This window comes from Homo sapiens, chromosome X (assembly GCF_000001405.40).
Source record: "Homo sapiens chromosome X, GRCh38.p14 Primary Assembly".
NCBI lineage: Eukaryota > Metazoa > Chordata > Mammalia > Primates > Hominidae > Homo > Homo sapiens.
In genome coordinates this window covers 20,236,445-20,260,131 of record NC_000023.11, presented here as the reverse complement: position 1 = coordinate 20,260,131, position 23,687 = coordinate 20,236,445, and the positions used below count along the sequence as shown (strand labels likewise).

Here is a 23,687-nt window from a genome sequence, read left to right as displayed (position 1 = left end):
TTAGGATGAATCCGTTCTGTTAATTTTTAGGGAAGGAAATTAATATGTCACACCTCCTTCCCCATTACTATAAATACATTTGTTTTAGTTATTTCGAAATGCCATAGGGTAACTGGGTTTTCCTGTCTAGAAATGTAATCCTTTAGATTTTGTCTGTAATGTGGTGTTGGTTCTTACAGAACTCTAAATAGTATATATAGTATTTTTCAAGCCGAAAAGTCTCTGGAGATATGATGTTAAAAGGTGTATCCATGCCTCAAGAATCACCCCCCTCCAAAAAATAAGGTAGTGTGGCATAATCAAGTAAGTTGGGGAAATGTGGCATTAAATAAGATTTAACCTGTCTTTACTGTATAATTTAGAACTTTTAAGATGTTGTATACAATGAATCTGCAAAATGGATATGGCCCACGGCATTTGAGACTTGATGTCAGAACCCCTTTTTTGTAAACCATCTATTGAAGTCTCAGTGGACACAAAGTGCTTTGCAGAACACAGTTTTGGAAAGTCTGATAACTACAGTAACGCGATCCAGTATTGCCTGGAAATGAGCTGTTATGTTTAATTGACTATATTGAAGTGTTTTCTTTAACTGTCAAGAGTTTTGTTTCATTTTGAATTGAAATCTTTCTAAATTAAATTGTATAAAAATGTTCCGTCTTAATAGTGAATATAAATTTAATAATAATTTAAATAAAAGTTAAAAATAATTTACACTTTTGATTCACTGTTCTGAAAATTAATGGTCATATTCTACTTAATATCAAGCTAATTGCCCCTACTAAATGGCCTGTACCTTGACTGTTTCTGTAACTTATGTCTAATATTTGTAGTTTAAAAATTCTCTTATATGCCACTTTATGCCACTGTTAATCTGCTTTTCTCTCCCATTTTCCTGTTTAAATTAATTGCTTCTTGTTTTCACTTACTAGAGAATAGATAGCTAGGATTAGTAATATAAAAAAGTTACAGTTTCCAAATAATGTAAAATAGCATCCTCACTCTTTTTCTGGTCTCTGCTCATCATGTACAAATACCTCTGGGGTCAGGGGTATTTGCTGGGCATATTACCAAATAATAAATAGTGATTTTATGTTTTACATACCATAACAGAATGGCTCAATTGCTGACATTACCTGCCCTGCATATTTACCTTCCTCTCTTGAAGATGTCAGCTAGAAAGTAGAACATGAATGAACTAAAAAACAGGCAGCTTTAAATTGAAAGCTAGCCTACTGCCCTGCCTGGAGTCACATCTCCACATTGTGAGTCCTTTTCTGTTGTTCTCATAAAGTAGTGCTAGTTTCCTAAATATTTGTTACTCTACACGTAGGTGTAAATCTAAAAGCACTTTTAGATTTCTTGTCATAGTAGAATTACAACCATAAGTTAAATCGAATTTTCCCATCTTAACTAATATATCCATGGTCTCTTATATAACTTAAAAACTTGTTTTGTCCACCATATAAATTGATTTTTATAATCTTACATATGGTGATAATCTCATCTTCAAATCTGACCTGGTCATTTAGATTTCTGTGAGCTTGTCTCTAATTCTTTGGGCCACAAAGCTTGTCCTAGGAAACTTGGTTCAGTCATTTGATATGTGTTAGAAGCAGATGTCAAATGATAGCCTGAAGCAAAAGATCATTTTGACATTAATAGATTGAAATGCATCTCAAGTGCAGTGGTTTGGGATAAATCTTCACTCCAGAAATCTTGTAAAACCTGTGGCAAAAATCTCAGCTACCTAGAATGTTACTTCATTTCTTCACATTTAGGAACAGAGGCATCTATCTGAAAATAATGTAAAATAATAAAGATTTACTTAAAATCACAAAAAATTTCTGGATCAGCACTGTTTAGTACAGTAGCTGCTATCTATATGTGGCTGTTGAGCACTTGAAATGTGGCTAGTGTGGAAGTGAACTTTTAAATTTTATCTAATAGTCACCAGTGGCTATTGGCTACCATGTTGAACAGTACAATTCCAGATTACAGGATTAGTACAAATTGAATGCATTTTTTACACCAGTGTTTTTTCATTTCTACCTTGTATGATTTGTATCTTGAAATTAATAGGCTAAACCTTTTCTAAAAACAAATATTTAACATGCTTTTTCAAATTATGTTTAATCAGGTTAGTTTTGTCCTTTTCTACCCTGAAGATTCTGATAAACCCTCTAGGGTGGTACATACCCCACAAATCACCATTCTACTCTTCCTACAGCTTTAATAGTTTTACTGTGACATCTCATTCAAGTGATAACACTAAAGCATTGGGGCAAATTTAAATATCAAAAAATGTTGTAATTACAAGTTTCCTCTTGTGCACCGAGCTTACAGACCGAGACATAAACAGTAAGACTAATGTCTCTGGGGAGAAAAATATACAATTATCTTCTATATTATTGGATAAATAAATTACTGTATGGTAATTTGTTTAAATATTGTGTTGCATTCACTGTACTGTGCTAGTTAAAACGGAAAAAGTGGATTGGTGCATTTTGAAATATGAAAGCATTTAAATTTTTTTAGCATATAATTTTAGAGAACAACTTAGCCCTACCCTATTTATGTAAGAAAATTGAGACCTGTTCAGGCAGACCTGCTGCAGGTGATATGTTAACAAAGTCAGAGTTGGCGTGTGCAGCACATTTATTTCACTAAAATTCATTTTGTCATCCACATCATATCAATACAACTCTTTAATTTTATGTAAACTATCTTAAATACAAATTCTGAAAGAGCCACAATGCACAAAAGTTCAAATATTACTTTTTCTCTACTCTCTGCTAATTTTAACTCGTAAGTCTGGAAAATACAGTCCTTAGTTTACAAAAACAACTTCAGAATGTTCCTACCTACAAACCAAGGGTGAGGGGTACGTTAAGATCACTGCTCTTTCTTTCCCAAGTGAAGATGGAAGGAAGCTCACGTCTATTGAGTGCCCCCCTTGACAAGTCACTTTGTGTATATCAACTTGAATGAAGTATACAGAATTATCCTCAACTTACAGATGAGGAAACTGAAGCCTAGAAGGGTTAAATAACGTGCTCATGGTTGCCCAGCTAGTAACTGAAGGAGCCAGAATTCAAACCCAAGTCTCACAGATTGCAAATTCTAATGACTTTTCACTACACAGCCCTGTTTGAGTTGAGAACATCCAGGTGAGTGACTCAGTCTAAATGAAATCTGCTACAGGGGAAAAAGGTTCCAGGTAGTTTACATGGGTAGCTATTGTGGAGATGTAGAGAATAACCTAGAGAGATAGGTGACTTCTCACATATATAAATATATGTATGTATGTAGCATGAAGCCCTCTTCTCACCAAGGAGGCCTGTAGAGATGATGTGATCCTGGCATGAACTAGGAATGCTGTTCACAATAGAGACAGTGCTTAAGTAGTCAATAAGTAAAGTTTAAAAAGTTAGTAAAACTGAGTGAAGTTGATGTTAGTTTCCAAATACAGTGGGTTAAATAGGCTTTTGTGAGTTGGCCTGAAAAACAGCATTTATGGCATTGTATGGGAAGATTATTTGAGATTTCTAACCAGCTGTCTTACAAATAAAACAAAATGTCTAACGTTTGAAACAAAAATTACAGTACTTGGAAAAAGGGGGGCCTGCCTAGACATTACTTAACAGCTCTCTTTACAGAAGCCTCTAGGTGTATGCATGAGTAAATGTGCTCTGTTCTTTGATTGCAGCTTATTAAATCGTTACCTCTCTATCTTTGCATCCTCTTTTCAGAAAAATCTACTTGATGTTCCCTCAAAGTGCCAGAAAACAGAATTTGGCTCAACCCAAAAATGTTAACAATTATCTTGCTATCGTATAAGAAAAGGAAATTTAAAAGGAAAGTTATGCAATCATTTTTTTTTTTCTTAGACTGTCAGGTCAAATAGCCCTAATTAATTCCTTTTTTTTTTCTTTTTTTTTTTTTTTTTTTTTTTTTTTGAGACGGTGTCTCACTCTGTCACCCAGAGCTTTTTGCTCTAATGCTGATATGGAAGGTCCTTGTATATGTATTTCTTCTCTGTCACCCAGGCTGGAGTTCAGTGGCTCAATCTTGGCTCACTGCAACCTCTGCCTCCTGGGTTCAAGTTATTCTCCTGCCTCAGCCTCCCGAGTAGCTGGAACTACAGGTGCCCACCACCACGCCTGGCTAATTTTTGTATTTTTGGTAGAAATGGGGTTTCTCCATGTTGGCCAGGCTGGTCTCAAACTCCTGACCTCAGGGTGATCCATCTGCCTTTGCCTCCCAAAGTGATGAGATTACAGGCATGAGCCACTGCATCCGGCCTAATTCCTTTTTTTTTTTTTTTTTTTTTTTTTTTTTTGAGACGAAATTTTGCTCTATTGCCCAGGCTGGAGTATGCAGTGGTGCAGTCTCAGCTCACTGCAGCCTCTGCCTCCCGGGTTCAAGTGATTCTCCTGCCTCTGCCTCCCAGGTACCTGGGATTACAGGTGCCCACCACCACGCCTGGCTAATTTTTTGTATTTTTAGTAGAGACAGGGTTTTGCCATGTTGGCCAGGTTGGTCTCGAACTTCTGGCCTCAGGTGATCCGCCCGCCTTGGCCTCCCAAAATGCTGGGATTACAGGCATGAGCCACCTTACCCAGCCTAATTCCTTTTTTAATTGAGATATTTACATACTATAAAATTCACCCTTGTATATGATTCGTGGCTTTTACTATATTCCCAAGGTTGTGCAGCCATCACCACTATCTATTTCCTAGAACATTTTCATCACCCCCAAAAAGAAATTTCATACATGTTAGCGGTCACTCCCCATTTCCTCCATTCCCCCAGTCCCTGGCAATCACTAATCTATTTTCTGTCTCTAGATTCACCTATTCTGGACATTTCATATTAATGGAATCCTACAGTATGTGGCCTTTGTGTCTGTTTTCAAGGTTCTTGCATGTTTCAAGGTTCATACATGTTGTAGCATGTAGGAAGACTTCATTCTTTTATGTGGCTGAATAATCTATTTTATGGATATACCACAGTTTGTTTATCCATTTATCAGTTGATGGACGTTGGAAATTGTTTCTACCTTTTGGCTATTATGAATAATGCTGCTGTGAACATTCGTATTAAGTTTTTATGTGAACACATGTTTCCAGTTTTCTTGGATATATACCTAGGAGTAGAATTGCTGAGTCATATGGTAAATCTATGTTTAGCTTTTTGAGGTACTGCCAAACTTTTCCAGCTGGCCTGTACCATTTTACATTCCCATCAGCAGTGTATGAGAGTTCCAGCTTTTCCGTATCCTTGCCATCACTTATTATTGTCTTTTTTACTATAACCATCCTACTGGGTGTGAAATGGTATCTCATTGTGGTTTTGATTTGCATTTCTCTAATGACTGATGATGTTAAGGATCTTTTCATGTGCTTCTTGTCCATTCGTATACATAATTCACGTGCTTATTTTGTTACCGTTTTAGGGACTTAAGTTGGCTTTTGTTCTAATGCTGATAGGGAAGTTCCTTGTATATGTATTTCTTCTCAGAAAACTTAGTTTCAATACGTGCTTTTAAGATATTTTCTTTCTTTTTAGATTTGATAAATACAAGGCTTTTCCTAAAATAGTGGTTTTCCAAATGGGTTAATAGAGCTCTAGGTTCTATGAAAGTGCCTTAGGATACCTCTCACCTAGGGCACCCTTTCTCTCAGCCAGAGTGGAATTCCTAGAGGAACACAACAAAGAATTAAATATTGGTTATAGAACTTAAAAAAGAAAGTTACAGAAAGAAAACAAAGATTGGGGCAGTGATATTTTTCCTTAGAGTCTCCTCGGCCTAAACTAGTCTATAGTTTCTTATTTAAAGCAAAAGTGCAAGAGTTAATTGAAGATTAATTATTAATCTTAATAGGAAGATAATATGCCTAGAATCTCTGAAATTAAATATAAGTCAACAGATAAATGAATTCAGGAATCCATCTCAAGTGAAGTAACGTATACAGGTATGTTATTTGAAGAAGTAAAAATGCAAATAAAACAAAACCTTATTTGCCTCTTTTCCTTCAAGTTCCTGCTGGCTGTTGGTATAATTCAAGAGTAATAGCTATCAAAATGGATGTTCATATTAAGTAATCCTTAGAGAAATGTCATAGGCAAATTAAAAATAAGTTTTGCCTTGGATTAATAAAAAGAAGAGCTCATAAATGAGTTTTAAAGCTATCTCCTGCCCACCACCTCCCCTCCCCCGCCAGCTCTTCTGAGTATGTATAGTATACTACTAGGTGAAAATGAATTAAATGGATTTATTTTCTTTTGGAACATTAAAGTCTAGAAGTACTAGGGTGGGCAGGAAGTTTAATAGCATGAAACAAGGTAAATTAGTAAAGAATAATATAAGCAGATGTAATTGGATCTTTAGGAGGAAATTATGACCTATAATGTTACAGCAGTTTTCTGTAGTACATTTTCAACCATAATGTGGAAAATTAGAAAATAAATGTTATTTTCAACATAAAAATTAATCACTTGGAGGATACATCTGGTTCTGCCAAGATAGAGGACCCCTATTCCTCCTTGATCTCCCTTACAGCGAAAACACTGTAGACATAACAAACAAGCACAGGAACACTCTAAAGGTGGAAAAAGAAGGCAAACAGCCTGCAGACCTCGAGACTCAAGAAAACCCAGGGAATTCACTATTTGTGTTCTTCCTGTCACCTCCCATATATCCTAGACAGGGTGCTATGAAAGCCTCCAAACTAGAACTGCCAACAGTCACAGACAAAAAGAGCTCTGAGAAAAAGCCTGTTTCCTTTAGACAAACAACTGGGGGAAAGGTAGCCAAGTAAGTCTAAACCTTTTTGACAATACTCACCCTACCCTGGCCAAATACCATCAGAAAAACCCCACCCCACCCCACCCCAAAGAAGCAAATAACAGTGCTCTCACTCCCCAACCCAGTGGTGTGGGCTGGGGAGATCAGAGACCTAAGCACCCATTTCTTTGCCCAGCAAAAGCAGACAGCACTTTGGTTCCCCCTGCTGGGTGGTTTTGGCAGACCAGGCAGGAAGCGTTTTCCCTCATTCCACTTCAAGCTGAAGGAAGTTATGCTCTTGCCAGGGTGGTGTCTAGCAGCAGTGGGGTCTAGTAGCAGATTGAGCCTCCACCCCAACCCAGAAGCAATGACACTTAACAAGGTGACGTGAGCCAGGGCTAATCCATACTCTACCCTCACCTTACATCAACGAGGCAGAACAAGATGGTTGGAGGTAGGATTCTCAACACATCTTACCTCCACTAATGTCAGTGGGGCCCAGTGGAGAACTGAGCCTTCACTCCCATCTGGCAAGTGATGGGTGGCAGGGCTAGTTGGCATTCTGCTTCCTTCTCTACCCTCCCCTGTTGTTAGCTGGGTCCTTTGGGGAGCTGAGCTTTTGGCTTTATAGTGCAGCAACAAAGAAGTTTGAGTCAGCCCTCTGCTTTCCTCCTCCCTGTCATCAGTGGGGCCCAGCAGGGAGGTGAGCTTACACCCCTACTCAGAGGCAGTGAGGTGATACAGGTTGGTGCCCTACTTTCATTGGGACTAAGAGTGGAGCTGAACTTCCGTCCCACCCATCTGCAACAAAACAGTGTGAGTCATTGCTCCACTTTTGCCTGGGTGATGTTGGTGCGGCCCAGAGGGAAGTTGAACATACACACTCCACCTCAACAGGAGGACTGCCTGCTTCGGGGAAAAAAAAAAAAAGATTAAATAGGAAAGAGTCCTATAATCTCCAAATATCCATTAGACAGTAAAAAATCACTTATACCAAAAACCAGGAAAATCGCAACATGAGTGAGAAAAGACAGTCAACACACATCATCACTGTGATAATTCAGATGTTGTAATTATCAGACCAGAATTTTAAAGCAGCCATCACAAAAATGCCTCAGTGAGCAATCACAAACACTCTTGAAACAAATGAAAAATTAGTCTCAGAAAAGAAATGGAAGCCATAAGGAAGAACCAAATAGAAATTTTAGAACTGAAAAATACAGTAACAAATAAACTTACTACATGGGCTAGATAGAAGAATGGAGATGATAGGAAAGAATAACATTGGAGATAAAGCAATAGAAATGAACAATAGAGAAAAAATAAACTGGAAAATGAACAGAGCCTCAAGAGCCTGGTGAACATTAACAAAAGATTTAACATTTATGTCATCAGAGTCCCAGAAAGGGAAAAAAGAAACTGGACCTGAAGAAATAATGGCTGAAATTTCCCCAAATTTTGCAAAAGACATAATCTTACAGATTCAGGAAGCTGACTGAATCCCAAATAAGATAAATGCAAAGTAATCCACTCCTAGACAAAATCAAAATCAAACTTTTGAAAATGAGTAGTTATTGTCTAATAGATACAGAGTTTCAATTTTGCAAGATAGTTCTGAAGATTAGTTGCATAATGTGAATATACTTAATACTACTAAACCATACACTTAAAATAGTTGAGATAGTGAATTTTATGTTATGTTTTATGACAATTGAAAAAGTAAAATATCAAACTTTTGAAAATTAAAGAATCTTTAAAGCAGTTAGAGAGAAATGAACTGTTACCTATAGGGAACAACTCATGCGACAGCAGATTTTCCATCAGAATCTATGGACGTCTGCCAGGCACAGTGGCTTACGCCTATAATCCCAGCACTTTGGGAGACTTACGCCTGTAATCCCAGCACTTTGAGGGGCTTACGCCTATAATCCCAGCACTTTGGGAGGCCAAGGCAAGAGGATTGCTTGAGCCCAGGAGTTCGAGATCGGCTTGGGCAACATGGCAAGACCCCATTTCTACAAATAATAACAATAATAAAAATAAATAGCCAGGCATGGTGGCACGTGCCTGTAATTCCAGCTACTGGGGAGGCTGAAGCTGGAGGATCACTTGAGCCCAGACAGTCAAGGCCCCAGTGAGCCATCTTCACACCACTGCACTCCAGCCTGGGCGACACAGTGAGACCTCATCTCAAAACATCTATGGATGCCAGAAGGATATGGCACACCATTTTTCAAGTGCTGAAAGAAGATACTGTCAACCCAGATTTCTATACCAAGTGACAATATCCTTCAGGAATGAAGGTAAAATCAGAGTGGTCTTGGATGCAGGAAAACTAAGAGAATTTGTGAGTAGCAGACCCTGAAAGAGAATGATAAAAGAAGGAAACTTGGACTGTCAGGAATAAAGAAATCACATAAATTCTACATAGTCTCTTCCAGAAAATAGAGAACAGTTTACAACTCATTTTATGAGGCCAGTATTATCCTGATAGCAAAACCTAAAGATAGTATAGAAAACTGCAGGTCAATATCCCTGAAGCACATAGACACAGAATCCTCAACAAAAACTAGCAAAACAAATCTAACAACATATAAGAATTGCATGCCATGACCAAGTGGGTTTTATTCCACATCAGACACAGTATTCAAAAATCATTCAAGGTAGCCTACCATATTAAAAGGTTAAAGAAGACAAGTCACATGATACTAATGGAGAAAACGTATTTTTTCTTGATCATAAAATGGCTTATGGGAAAGAGAAAAATTTAGCTAAGTTAAACATTCATTCATAATAAAAACTCAGCCACCTAATAGAGGAGGACTTGCTCAACTTGATAATGAACCTACAGCTAACATAAAACTTAATGGTGTAGTCCCAGCACCTTGGGAGGCTGAGGTGGGAGGATCACTTGAGGCCAGGAGTTCAAGTCCAGCCTGGGCAATATAGCAAGGCCCTATGTCTAGGAAAACAATTTTTTAAAAAATTAGCAAGGAATAGTGGCATGCACTTATAGTCCTAGGTACTTGGGAGACTGAGGCAGGAGGAGCCCTTGAGCCCAGGAGTTCAAGGCTGCAGTTAGCTATGATCACACCACTGCACTCCAGCCTGGGTGACAGAGCAAGACCCTGTCTCTAAAAACAAAATGGGAGGAACCCTTCCAAATGATTTTAAGACTTACTATATCCAGTACTCAAAATACTGTAGTATTGGCAAGGGGATACACACATAGATCAGTGGAATAAGATGGAGAACAAGAAATAGACCCACGTAAGTACAGCCAACTGATTTTTGTCAAAGTTACAAAAGCAGTTTGATAGAGGAAGGATAAATAGCCTTTTCAACAATGGTGTCTGGAGCTATTGCACACCTATAGGTAAAACAATAAGTCTCAACCCAAATCTCGTACTGTGTAAAAGTTAATTTAAAATGGATCATGGATTTGAATGTAAAACTAGAAAACTTTTAGAATTTAGACATAGGAGAAGATCTTCAGGACTGTGGGCTAAATGAAGCATTTAAACCTGAGACCAAAAGCAAATTCTATAAAAGAAGAAAACAATAAATTGAACTTCTGAAAAATTCAAGACCTTTTATCTATGAAAAAGACTCTGCGAAGGGTATGAACCTGTAACTGAGACCGGACTTGTATTTACAATATTCAAAGAACTCTCAAAACTCAGCAATAACAAAGACAAGCAATCCAGGCAAAAAATAGACAAAAGAAGTGAACAGACACTTCACCAAAGATGAATAGCAGATAAGCATATGAAAAGATGTTCAGCATGGTTAACTATCAGGGAAGTGAAAAAACATGATGAGGTATCACTACATACCTATTAGAACAGCCAACATAAAAAATAGTGACAATAATAAATGGCGAGGATGCAAACAAACTAGATCACTCATATATTGCTGGTGAGGGCATAAAATGATACAGCCCCTCAGGAAAATAGTTTGGCCATTTATTAATAAACATATACTTGCTATATGATCCAGCAGTTGTACTCCTGGACATTCACCGCAGAGAAATGAAAACTTATGTCCACATAAAAGTCTGTGCACAGATGTTCCTAGCAGCTTTATTTGTACTATCCAAAAATTAGAAACCAAATGTCCTTGAATGGGTAAATGGTCAAATAGTCTAGCACATCCACATCATGGAATAATACTACTCGCTAACTAAAAAGGAATGAATTGTCGATACACACAACAGCTTGGATGAATCTCAAGGGATTTATGCTGAGTGAAAAAAAGGTCACATGCTATATGATTTATATGACATTCTTAAAATGACAGAATTATCGCAATGGAGAAGAGATTACTGATTGTCAGGAATTAGGAAAAGGGGAGGGAAGTGTGGTCGTAAAGGGGCCACATGAGGGATCCTGGTGGCAATAAACTGTTCGGTATCTTTACTGTAGTGGTGGATATAGAGACCCACACGTGATCAAATGGCCTAGAAAACACAGCTACATACCTGTAAAGCCAGTGAAATCTGAGTAGGATCTGTGCATTGTACCAGTTGCAATATCCTGGCTTTGACAGGAAGTGATATAAGATGTTACCACTGGGGTGAAGTAGGTTAAAAGTGTATGGGACCTCTCTGTATTATTTTTGCAACTTCCTGTGACTTTATGATCATTTGATCATGTCTAAATAAAATGTAAGAAAAAAAGTTTATACAAAAAATTAGCTGGGCATGGTGGAGGGCGCCTGTAGTCCCAGCTACTTGGAAGGAGGCTGAGGCAGGAGAATGGCATGAACCCGGGAGGCGGAGCTTGCAGTGAGCAGAGATCACGCCACTGCACTCCAGCCTGGGCGACAGAGCGAGACTCTGTCTCAAAAAATAAAAAAAAATTAAAAAGCATTAAAGTGTCTATTCTCAATTAAAAACTTATTCCCAGTAATTTTACTAATAGGAATAAAAGGGTATGTCCTTAATACTTAAAAAAATCATCTCAAACCAATAACCAGCATCATGCTTCATGGGGACATATTGTAGGCATTCTCATTAAAACTATGCCTGCTATTTTCACTTCTATTTTACCTTCTAGAAGAGCTTGCTAATGCAATTAAATAAGAAAATCAAAGAGTATTCAAAAAGATAAAAGATTATTCATATATGATATAATTATCCTCTTAGATAACCTAAGAAAATCCACTAAAAAGGTTTATTAAAACAAATGATAGCCTACTAAGGTGATATTACACAAAATGTATTCAGAAATCAACAAACAGCTTTCCTGTTTAGGAGCCATAAACAGAAACTGTAATGGAAAAAAGATCTCATTCATAATAGCGACAAAAATGTTGAATGCCTAGAAATATAACAAGCAAAGGACAAGACCTAAATGAAGAAAATCACTGAATTGCATTAAAGAACAATTTGAAAAAATGAGAAAAAAAGCTATGGTTCTTTAATGTAATTTAAATTACTTTCAATAGGATTTGAAGGTTTTTTTTGTTTTTTATTTTTTTAAGATTTGAGGGTAACTTTTCCTTTGTTTTGAATAAGTATTCTCAGATTTTTCTTTTTTTTTTTTTTTTCTTTTGAGACGGAGTCTCGCTCTGTCGCCCAGGCTGGAGTGCAGTGGCGCAATCTCGGCTCACTGCAAGCTCCACCTCCCGGGTTCATGCCATTCTCCTACCTCAGCCTCCCAAGTAGCTGGGACTACAGGCACCCACTGCCACGCCTGGCTAATTTTTTTGTGTTTTTAGTAGAGACGGGGTTTCACCGTGTTAGCCAGGATGGTCTCGATCTCCTGACCTCGTGATCCACCCGCCTCAGCCTCCCAAAGTGCTGGGATTACAGGCATGAGCCACCGCGCCCGGCCTCAGATTTTTCGTTTTTAAAAATTTCCTTAGGTTTCTCTAAGTTATAGCTTATGTGAGCAGTTAAAACTTAACAATGTTTAGTAAAGTGTTCTATTTTGTTTTTTTTGAGATAGAGGCACGATCTCAGCTCACTGTAACCTCTGCCTCCCGGGCTCAAGTGATTTTCCTGCCTAATCCTTTGAGTACCTGGGACTACTCGAGTACATGTGCCACCACGCCCAGCTAATTTTTGTATTTTTTGGTAGAGACAGAGTTTCACCATGTTGGCCAGGCTGGTCTTGAACTCCTGGCCTCAAGCAATCCACCTATCCAAAGTGCTGGGATTTCAGGCATGAGCCACTGCGCCCAGCCTAGTAAAGCATTCCTATTAATACTCTTTATTTATGCTTAATAAATATGCATGTAGAATTAATCATGGAACTCTAATTAGAAACTACATTTGTGGTTATCTTTTCAGAAATTAGTTTTGATGGCTTTGTTACTAGGTTATGTTTAAACCTAGGGTGAGTTTTAAATATATATATACATATTTTAATTAGAGTGGATCATTTGGATTGTTTCTTCCTAAGTCAGTTCACCTAAAAACATGCCTAAGACACTTTGTATTGAGATACAGTTGATATTACACAAACAAGAATTGTGTTAAACAGGTTCTGATTTATTGTGTATTTGAGCAAGTACCATTGTATCGTTTTCCTTGTAACTTATTAATGCTATCTTTTTGTACATAAAGATGTTTGTAAGAATATATATGTTTAAGTGTTAATTAATAGTTATGTTATCAATAATGTTTATTAGTTCAGTAGACATTTAGCATCACTTGTCTTACAGATGGGGAAACAGAGGTTTAAATGATTTTTGCCACAGTCACAGCAAATAAAAGCTTGGACTTTGAAGCCCAGCATAATGGTGTATCTATTTTGGGTAGGAGGGCTTCATTAAACCTCTGGAAACCAGAATAAATCATTTAACTTGTTTGTAGGACCCCTGAATTAGCCAACCCAAGTAATATATTAAAGGGTTATCCAGAACTCAGATTTTTAGCCCTAGAAATGGAAGTGGACCCATTAGGGCAAAGGGCTCTTCAAAATCCCCTCAAATAACAGTAATTGTCGTTTCCCCTGACAAGATGAGCAGGAGGAAAGAGAAGCTGACACCTCCTAAACACCCAGTGTGGCTGGGCATACTGAACTGTACCACAACCTCCAGCATAATTAGGATCCAAATTTTATGGATTAGAAAACTGAGATTCATGTTAAGTCACTTACCCAAAGTCACACCTATAATAAAGAACAAAGCCAGGCTTTGAAACTTGATGTATCAGGCTCCAGAGCTCATGATCTTTACACTGGGATTTCCCTTTTTTTTTTTTTTTTTTTTTCTTTTCCGAGATGGAGTCATGCCATTGCCCATGCTGGAGTGCAATGACGCGATCTCGGCTCACTGCAGCCTCCGCCTCCCAGGTTAAAGTGATTCTTCTGCCTCAGCCTCCTGAGTAGCTGGGATTACAAGCATGCACCAGCACGCCTGGCTAATTTTTGTGTTTTTAGTAGAGACGGGGTTTCACCATGTTGGCCAGGCTGGTCTCGAACTCCTGACCTCATGATCCTCCTGCCTCGGCCTCCCAAGGTGCTAGGATTACAGGTGTGAGCCACCGCGCCTGGCCTCCCAGTCTTGTGTAATCACAGGCATCCTCTAAGGTGCCTGTTTAAAAAATAATATACTTAACAATGGGGCTTCTGGGAATTCTGATTCAGTGTTGGGCTGAGATAGGTCCAGGTAATATATCTTTAACAGGAACCATAGGTAATTTTGATCATCAGGCAGATTGGAAAATATTACCAATGCCATTGTGTACTAAGAGGGTTTGAAGGTATTGGAGAAGCAGGAATAGGATTAGGAGTAGATCCCAATTTTTTTAATTGATACTTTACTAATTTTCTCTAGTAAAATAATAGATCAGATTGTGGAAATTATAAAATTGCTTTAAGTTCCCTTAATCTGCACAAAAACCAATATTGTATTTTTTTCTTTTATTTGACAACATTCGTACAGTGAGTTCTTTGGCATTATCTATGTTTACATTGGGGAACAAAAGCACCATTGACAGGTATAGATAAAACTATTCTAAATGCAGAAGTGGAAGAAAAAGTTATACTTAGAAGTAACGTTAAAAACAGCTTTAAACATAGAATCAGTAACTTCCTTGGGTACGAAAACCCCCCAAAATTTTAAATAACCTTAATCTAAAACTTTAATCCTTAAAGTTTTATAGAAGATCGTAAAACTTTCAAGCTGGGAGAGCTCCTGGATAGTCACATATTTATGGATGAAGCAACCACAACTTAGAGAGGCTTGGGGGCTTGCCCACAGTTAGTGGCAGACTTTCAAATCCATGCTGGCCAAGATTCCATAGAACTCATGGATTACAGATAAATACCAGAAAAAAGCAACTTTTCCAAGGATACACCAGTTTTTAGAAATAAATGTAGTGGCAAGTCATGTTTTCCTTATATTCCCTATTTTGTTTACCTAATTTTTATGTTTTCTTTCATTTTTCATTGTCCTAATAAAAATGAGTATATTTAAAGAAATCCCTTTTAGGAGATTATGTAATTTGAAGTATTTTATCTGATCAATGATAGAAAAATGAACCATAACCTTCCTAGAATAGTGTATTTAACAAATAAATACTTTCAGAACATGTGCTGAAGAACTCTAGTTTTCTCCACTTTTATTACAAAACTATTTTATGAATGGAGAAAAATGAGCATAGCTAGATGCTTGTACGTGAACTCTAACAGCAGTATAACAGCATTTCTATGTAAGTAGTAGGAGCTTTGTATTTGAACTTGAATTTAATTATCTTATCTGCAAATTTAATAGCTCTATGATCTTGTACAAGTTATTAAAATCTCAACCTAACTTTTTTTCTTCTCTGCGTAATAACTCACCTCATGGATGATTTTTAATTATTAATTGGGATTCAGTGAGAGAATATGTGTAACACAGGTAGCACTGTAGTTTGAACAAAATAGGCAATGAATAAATGATAGCTGTTACTTATTTCCTTGACCCAGTAGTTATTTAGAAGAATATTAATTTCTGAGTGAGTGCTTTATTTCCTTATTCAATATTTTATTGTAATCAGAAAATGTGACCTGTGTAATTCCTGCCTTTAAGAATTTTAAACTGGCCTGTAATCCTAGCACTTTCGGAGGCTGAGGTGGGAGGATTGCGTGAGGCCAGGAGTTTGAAGCTGCAGTGAGCCAAGATTGCACCACTGCACTCCATCCTAGGTGACATGGTCAGTTTTTATAACTTTTCATAGAAACTTATAAGTTGAAAACAACCCATATTCTTTTTACATTATAAAATTCAGTATCTACCTGTTCTAATATAAATTATTTCAAATGCTTTGTCCTTATTTATTATGCTAGTTGATATTAGTGCACTAAAATTTTCCCATCCATTTTCTTTCCATTTAGTTTATGTTATATTCTCCAAGGCATCTGTTCTTGTGTTTTGTGGTTGGTTTAGTCATGGTTAAATGTTCAATACTATTATGCATTTACTGTTTTTAATGACTTTTTTGCTTAAAAAGTGATACATGCTAATTGTAGAAAATACAGAGAAGGAAATAAACCTCTGCACTCTTACTATGGAATATTATTAAAAGACTTTTATGTGATTAAGAGTAGGGGTTTTAGGGCCAGCCGTGGTGGCTCACGCTTGTAATCCCAACGCTTTGGGAGGCCGAGACGGGTGGATCACTTGAGGTCAGGAGTTCGAGACCAGCCTGACCAACATGGTGAAACCCAGTCTCTACTAAAAAAAAAAAAATACAAAAATTAGCTGGATGTGGTGGCACGCACCAGTAGTCCCAGTTACTCAGGAGACTGAGACAGGAGAATCCCTTGAACCCGGGAGGCAGAGGTTGCAGTGAGCCAAGATTGTGCCACTGCACTCCAACCTGGGTGACAGATCCAGATTCCATCTCAAAACAAAAAACAAAAGAGTAGGGGTTTTAGAATTAGATTTGGGTTTGAATTTCGGCTCTACTTATTAGCCTTAGGCAGTATATTAGACTTTCTCATGTATTCAACAAATATTTATTGAACACCTACTGTGTGTGCCAGGCATTTTGCTAGGGGACTGGGGATCCAGTGCTTAGAAAGTTTGACATACCTATCTTGGCTTAATTTCCTCATTTGTAAACTGGTGATAATACCTCACAGAGTGGTTAAGAAGCATCAAAGATAACAGTCCTTAGCATTTGCCTGGTATGTGGAGCTCAGTAAATGATAGCAATCATTTTTACTGTGTGTACTCAATATTGATTATATCTTTAATCCAAATAAAATGACTTTTTTAACTCAGCTTAAGGTTTTTGCCTTACATTTTATTTTTGGTATTAATGTTATAAACGCTTGTTTTATTTTTTTTTTATACTTATCTGTTTGGTTTGGGTTTCTCTTTAAAGTAGTAAATAGTTGTTGGTTTACTTTTTAAAAAATATAACCTGATTATTAAAGTTATGATTATCAAACATTTCAAACACATACCAGACTGGAGAGAGTAGTGTAATGAACCAACATATTCCCATAACCCAGCCTCAAGGATTATCAAACTCATGGCCAATCTTGTTCCATTTCTGTTTCCTCTTCTCATTCCCCTAACCACCCTCCGATAAACATTTGCATTTATACTTCTTAAAAGATAGACTTTTAAAATTCATAAGGACCTTACTATCATCACTCATAAAACATCAGTAATTCTTTAATGACATCTAATATCCAGCAAGCCACTTCCTTGTATAATTAAACACTTTAAACTTTACATTTCTTACATTATTACTTTTGGAATGGTTTCCGTCATATTATTTTACATTTTTTATTCTTGTGAGGTTTTTTTCTTCTTCCATATAAATTGTTTTGTTTGAGGAGCTTATGAAATATAGAAGAATGAATTACGGAGCTAAAAAGATCTGGGTTTGAATCCTGCTTCTGCCATTCAGTAATTAACTTTGCTGAGCCTTGGTTTCCTCAACTATAAAATAGGAATAATTATACCTGACTCATGTTCTTAGGGTTGAATGTGATGCCTGCATAAAGTATTGTTAATAGTCTCTGCCAGTTATTATCTTTAGTGATTCGAACTGTAATATCTATTCTTGGTTACTGTATGGTTTTTCAAAACATTCCAAAATTTGTATTTACTGGATAACTACTAAAACTAATGGTTTTAAAATATCCTTCTAGGAAAGAGAATTTAGAATCTTGGCTTCTCCCACTACCTCTTTTATTTTGAGTTCACATTAATTTAACCTGATGTTACAAATCCTACTTTGAACTTTCTGAAGTGTTTTTTCTTTTATATTGTTTATATACTTATATCAATTATTCTTCACTATTGAACCCTTTTCTTTTAGTGGGATTAACTGTTTTACTCAGTTATTTCTAGATATTAGGTTGGTGTCAGTATACTTCACCAGTTCTTTCCTACCTCAATATTCTTTATCTCTTATTCTCTTTTGATGGTCTAGGATGTACCTTTGAACAATTTATTTTTTTAAAAAACTACCAGGATGGTGAAAATTTGACTTTGCAGATCTAAGAATAATTTCCTGTGAGCTTTGAACACGAAAAACTAGAATGAGGTATAAAATTCTTAGATCATAACTTTTCCTTTTCAATTCTCTGTAAGTGATTACTTCAATGTCTTCTGGCATTTTATTGTTGCAGAGGAGAAATCTGAGGTCAGTCTGATTTCAGTTCCTTTGAAATAACCTATTTTTTTCTGCTTGTATGCTTGTAGGATTATATCTTTATCCTTGAAATTTAAAAACATTTGCCAGGACATGTCTTGGTGTTGATGATCTCTGTTGAACCTTCTCAGTCTCCAGTCTCAGGTATTTTTTTTTCAGAACTGGAAAGTTTTCTTATACTTTTGATTGATTAAACTGCCTGTTTTTTTTTTTCTTTAGGAACATCTGTTATTCATAGATTATTTCTATGTCTGTCTTCCATAGTTTCTTTAAATCTTTTCTTTCTTTCTTTCTTTCTTTTTTTTTTCATTTACTCAAGTTTGTCCTCTGTGGCATGGATTCCGTTTTCTGTAGTGTCAATTCTAATACTTGCTATTCACAGTGCAGATTTAATTTTGGCTACTATGTTTTCATTTCTTTATTCTTATCTCAACATACTCTTGTTTCATAAGCAGAATCCCCCTTAGACGGTAACACTTCAAAAAACATGAGGTGGATCCCAGCCTGAAACTTGGCCACAACCACAGGACCAGGAAAAAAAAAAGTTTCTGAAAGGGTCCTCTTAAACATAAAAATGTAAATATAACCAGAGGTCATTCCTACCCTCATCTAGAAAATAGAACAATGTTGGGTACTAACAGACCTTAAGTAGCTAGAGGAATAGTAAAGCAGGCATAAGGGCACCTTAACTAGAAATAAACTGATTTTTCTAATTACATGTATTGTTTTTCTCTTTATAAAATTAATACATAATAAGTGCATATAACTTTGAAAATACATTACAAAGAAGAAAAGCCTGTGACCCAGGTAACGACTGATAAGATTTTATATATGTTTTGCCAGCTACATGCACACATGTTGGGAGGAGGGGATGCAAAATTGGGTCATACTATATAGTTTTGTATCCTTTTTAATGTAATATATTGCAAGCATATTTTTTGCATCATTAAATTTTCTTTGAGGCCCTGATTTTAACCATTGCATAGTATTCCTACATATGAATAGATGTATTATGATTTATTTAACCAGTCCCTTGTTGGTCATTTAGATTGTTTTCTATTTTTCAGTATAATGAGTATGATGAATATCACTGTACATAAGTCTTTATGCACATCTCTGATATTTCCTTAGGATAAATGAGGAGCTGATTCTTAATCCTGTCACATTGGTAAGGATTATATACATTCCTTATTAAGAATATAAAGTGCTTGTTTCTTATTGTTTCATTGTGATTGCATAGAAGATTCTTTGGATTCTGAACAATTTGGTGGTATCTTAACCAAAGTTTGAGAGAGGTTTCTAATGCCTCATGCTCAGCACCTTCATGATGGAATTCCTATTGTGTAAGCTTTTGGACAGGAAAACCACTGCTGATATCAGGGAGTTTGGAAAGTAGATATACTTGTGGAAACCTGAGGGTGGTAAAAAAAAAAAAAAAAAAAAAAAAAAAAGTATGGTCCTTGTTCATTCCTACAGCCTGGGTCTCCATATTAATATACTAGGGCTCTGGATCTTTTCTTTTCCTCTTCCCTTCCTGTTATTTCAGATTGTTACTCTCTCTGAAGATTCTTCTCTTAATGTCCGTACGTCCATTTCATTTCTAGGTAGGAGAATGTCAGTAGATGATATACCCTGCTGAGTTCAAGGTAGCATTTTATCAGTCACAGATCATCTTTTGGTCCTAGCATACTTATACATGATGATCTCCTGCTGAAATCAAAGTATTTTTTAACTAATTATATATTTTCAGAGGTATCAAACAGCAGCCTGGAAAAGTACATTGTTGTATCATGCCATTACAACAAAGCAATCTGCTTAATAAAGTTGCTTAAAATGAAAGTTTTTAAATTAACAAAATATTTTTAACCTCAGAATTTTCCATAAAATAGTTAGGAATACTCTAGAGTTCCTGAAACCTTGATTCAGAAATACTGATTGGAGTTGTTCTTCCTCTTTAAGCCTGGAAGATGATCTTAGGTGATAATTTTTTACAACATTGAAAACAATTCCTGCTGAAAGTCAAGGGAACAGTCTCCTTTATCTGATTTGTTCTGATGAGACCCATATTGTAGGTTATCTAATGTGTGACTTTATACACATTTCAGGCTAACAAAGTAAAGCATGATTAGCATTTCCTAACCTTTTCCAGTATTTCACATCACATTTGCATATATACAATCTGCCAGGCTCTGAAATTTTTTGGCTGGAAGGCATTATGGTGGGATGAGAGAGGATAAATACATTTGCCTCACTTTTAAACTATTTTTTGTCCATACTCATTCTCTAGCTACATTGTATAAAAATATAGCACATACATAAATGATCTCTTCCACCCTGCTTAGTGGAAAATTGACTGTAGTGAATGATGGAACAGGTGTTTCAACACTCTCCGATACTTCTTCATTGCATTACATCTTTAGAAGTTACCTATAGAAATGTAATGTTACACAGTCAATTGAGGCAAAAGAGAGGAGAAGAAGTAACATTTACTGAACATAGACTGTCTCTTGGTGGATCTTTTTAGTTACAACATCCCTGTGAGGTAGATATTATGTGCATCTTGTGAGTGAAGAAACTGAGGCTCAAAATGTTAAATAACTTACCCAAGTTCAGGTAACTACACCAGTAAGTGACAGAATTGGGGTTTAAATGTGGTACTGACCAGCTTTAGAACACATTTTTTCCCACTTGTTTTTTAAAATTAGAGAAATATATTTTCTTGTTTAACAAGTACTATTCCTTAAACTTAGGAAACAATAGAAAGTAAAATACTGAGTAAGACTCATAATCCATGTAACCTAATCTCTAATAAAACCAACCGTCATTTTCCAAATGGGAAACTTAACTGTAGAAGTAACTCTGTGCTCATTTCTAATAGATAACATTTGAATCCTTGTTTTGATGAAGTGATAGAAAAGTTTCATTTAAATAAAGGTGCTTTTTTTGGTAGAAAAAGCTTTGTAAAGCTGCACTGGTATGTAGGATAATGTTGGCTCGCTGCTTTAAAAATTAAATTGTTCAACATTTTAAATTATTGCCAAACTCAGGAGGTAGCTATTTTTACAAAAAGTAGAGCATAAAATACCCTTCAGATTATGTTTCACTCAATTTTTTTCTTAGGTTGCTTTGTTAGTATATACTATACTATTAGCTGGGTGAGTATTTGAGAAAAGAAAGTTTATTGTAAAATTTGAGATGACGTGAAGCTGAAAATAGTGAAGAGGCTGATTGACAGATTTGGAATCTAATATATAGAGACTGTAGCAATGGATGAGAGCTGGAAAAAGATGAATCAAAAATTTTAAATAAAGTTTTATTCATGGAACTAAGAGTAACAACAGGTATGCAGGGTGTGGTTGCAGTGCAAGACAAGGATTTAATCAGAAAACTTGATATGTCAGCATTGTGTTGAGGGCATTCCAAAAATAATGCATATGTGAACTGCATTAACATAAGTTTATTTTCTAGGACAAGGGAGATAATATGACCTTTACTCTGCATTGGTCGTTTGAGGGTTGAAATGTTAATTACATGCAATTCCATATACCACCCTTTAAGATGATTTGGAGTGTGTTCAGAGAAGAAGATGGTGATGAGTCTTATCTGTCTTAAAGAAATGTTTGAAGGAACTTAAGTTATCTAGAAAAGATAAGTTTCAGGGTGGATTAGAGTCATAGATGTAGATTTACTTCCTGTGACTTTGCAGATAGAGTACAGGCAAGTTAGTCATCATTTATTAGTAATCCTCTTAAAGAGAATTCACAGCTGAGGAAAGTTGCTATATAATGAAAAATTTCATGTAGCAGGCAGTACTTTCTCAGAGATATTATAGTGCCTAGTGAGGTAGTACATTCTTGTCCTGGTAGTATTGAAGCGTAAGTAAGAATGGAGTAGAAAGAGTTGAAACATATTATGTGTAGTAGGAACAGAAGACTGTTGAGATGCCTTATCAATTCAAAGATTTTTTAAATTCCAAGATCAAAAGGACTTTACAGAGTATTTTATCCTCATGAAGCTACCTCACCTTAGTAATAATGTGCATTGGTACAGCTCTTTAACATTTATAAAGTTCTTTCTTCTGAATTATCTCATTTTTGAGCCTGGTAATAATCCTTTGGGTAGATAGGACAAGTATCCTTATTTTGAACAGGTAAAGTAATAGGCTAAGAGAAAATCTGAATTGCCTCAAATCATAAAGCTTATAAGCAGCAGCCTAGGGCTCTATCCTTGGTCTGCGAATTCCAAGTTTAGTGCTGTTTCTCCTGTACCAGTTTTCTTTAAAAGTAAGTTATAAGTTGTGACACTTGCTTTGCATACATTAAAAATTGCAGGGAACAGATGGTTCTTAAATTTTATTCCTATGAAAAACGTACGTGTAGCTCAAGTTAGACTGAGGGTTCTAAACGCCAAACAATGGGGAGTCATGGGGGCAAGTCTGTGTTACAGAAAGATAACTGTTTACAATTAATGAAAAAATCTGGTTTGGGCTGCTAGATGAATGATGGTGCCATTCATTAAGATGACAAATATAGGAGAGGGAGCAGATTGGTGGGCCAGAGGTGAGGTAATTGAATTTTGGACGTAAGAAAACTAACTGACATTGATTGTTTACTAAGTGCCAGACACTATGGTTAGGGTTTTATATCATTTAACTCATTTAGTCTTTACTACAACCCTCTGAAGATAAGACTTTTCAATCTTCATTTTCCATATGAAGAAACTGAAAAGCTTAGATTGTTGAAAGAACCTGTCCAAGACTTCATAATTAATAGGGTGAGACAGGAATTTGAATCTCTATGTCGGACGACAGAGCCGCAGTTGTTAGGAGCTAGTTCTTTGGGACATTTGGATAAGAACAACCAGTAGTCAGTCAGTTGAATAAATGGTTGTCACTTTGAGGAAAAAGAAATATTCTGGAGATACATGAGTATCTTTATACCAAAGAAATGGGCAGTGTTATAGCCTTTGAACATACCTTAGGAAAATAAAGATTTTATACTTGCCTCCCTACCTTTTCCTGAATTTTGGCACTGTTTCTGTGCTTCATAGTATTATATAGGCATTCCCTCATCTAGGAACATCTTCTATGAGTGGTGAAAATGAAAGGTGCCCTTTGTATAAGGTCAGTAGACCTTCTAAGATAGGGGCTATGTTTTATTAACTTCTGTCTCCAGCTCAGTGCCTAGAACATAGCTTGAATGAAATGAATGAATGGATGGATGGTAAATAGGGATGAGAAAAACAAAGAGGGGAGTTCATATTTAGAGCAGCTGCCTCATGTGAAGTATGAGG

The 23,687-nt window shown here is 36.3% G+C and overlaps 1 protein-coding gene across 14 annotated transcripts in view, besides 1 other annotated feature; it reads left to right on the top strand.

The window, feature by feature from the left end:
* Nucleotides 1-23,687, top strand: part of RPS6KA3 (ribosomal protein S6 kinase A3) — a 117,187-nt gene that overhangs the window by 6,966 nt on the left and 86,534 nt on the right. For 3 of the 14 annotated variants that reach the window (XM_047442336.1, XM_047442334.1, XM_011545560.2), the window contains exon 2: nt 19,527-19,563. The exons of 10 other annotated variants lie outside the window; for them this stretch is intronic. The gene's annotated coding sequence lies outside the window, so the exon portion shown is untranslated. Of the gene's footprint in view, nt 1-18,445; nt 18,540-19,526; nt 19,564-23,687 lie in introns of all 14 variants that reach the window. One more of the 14 variants, XM_011545557.3, reaches the window with a different exon arrangement.
* Nucleotides 6,887-7,181: an enhancer, noted in NCBI's record as "tiled region #15471; HepG2 Activating non-DNase unmatched - State 14:Gen5', and K562 Activating DNase unmatched - State 12:CtcfO". NCBI's record gives its function as "activates a minimal TATA promoter and a strong SV40 promoter by Sharpr-MPRA in HepG2 and K562 cells {active_cell/tissue: HepG2 | K562}" and the evidence as "EXISTENCE:reporter gene assay evidence [ECO:0000049][PMID:27701403]".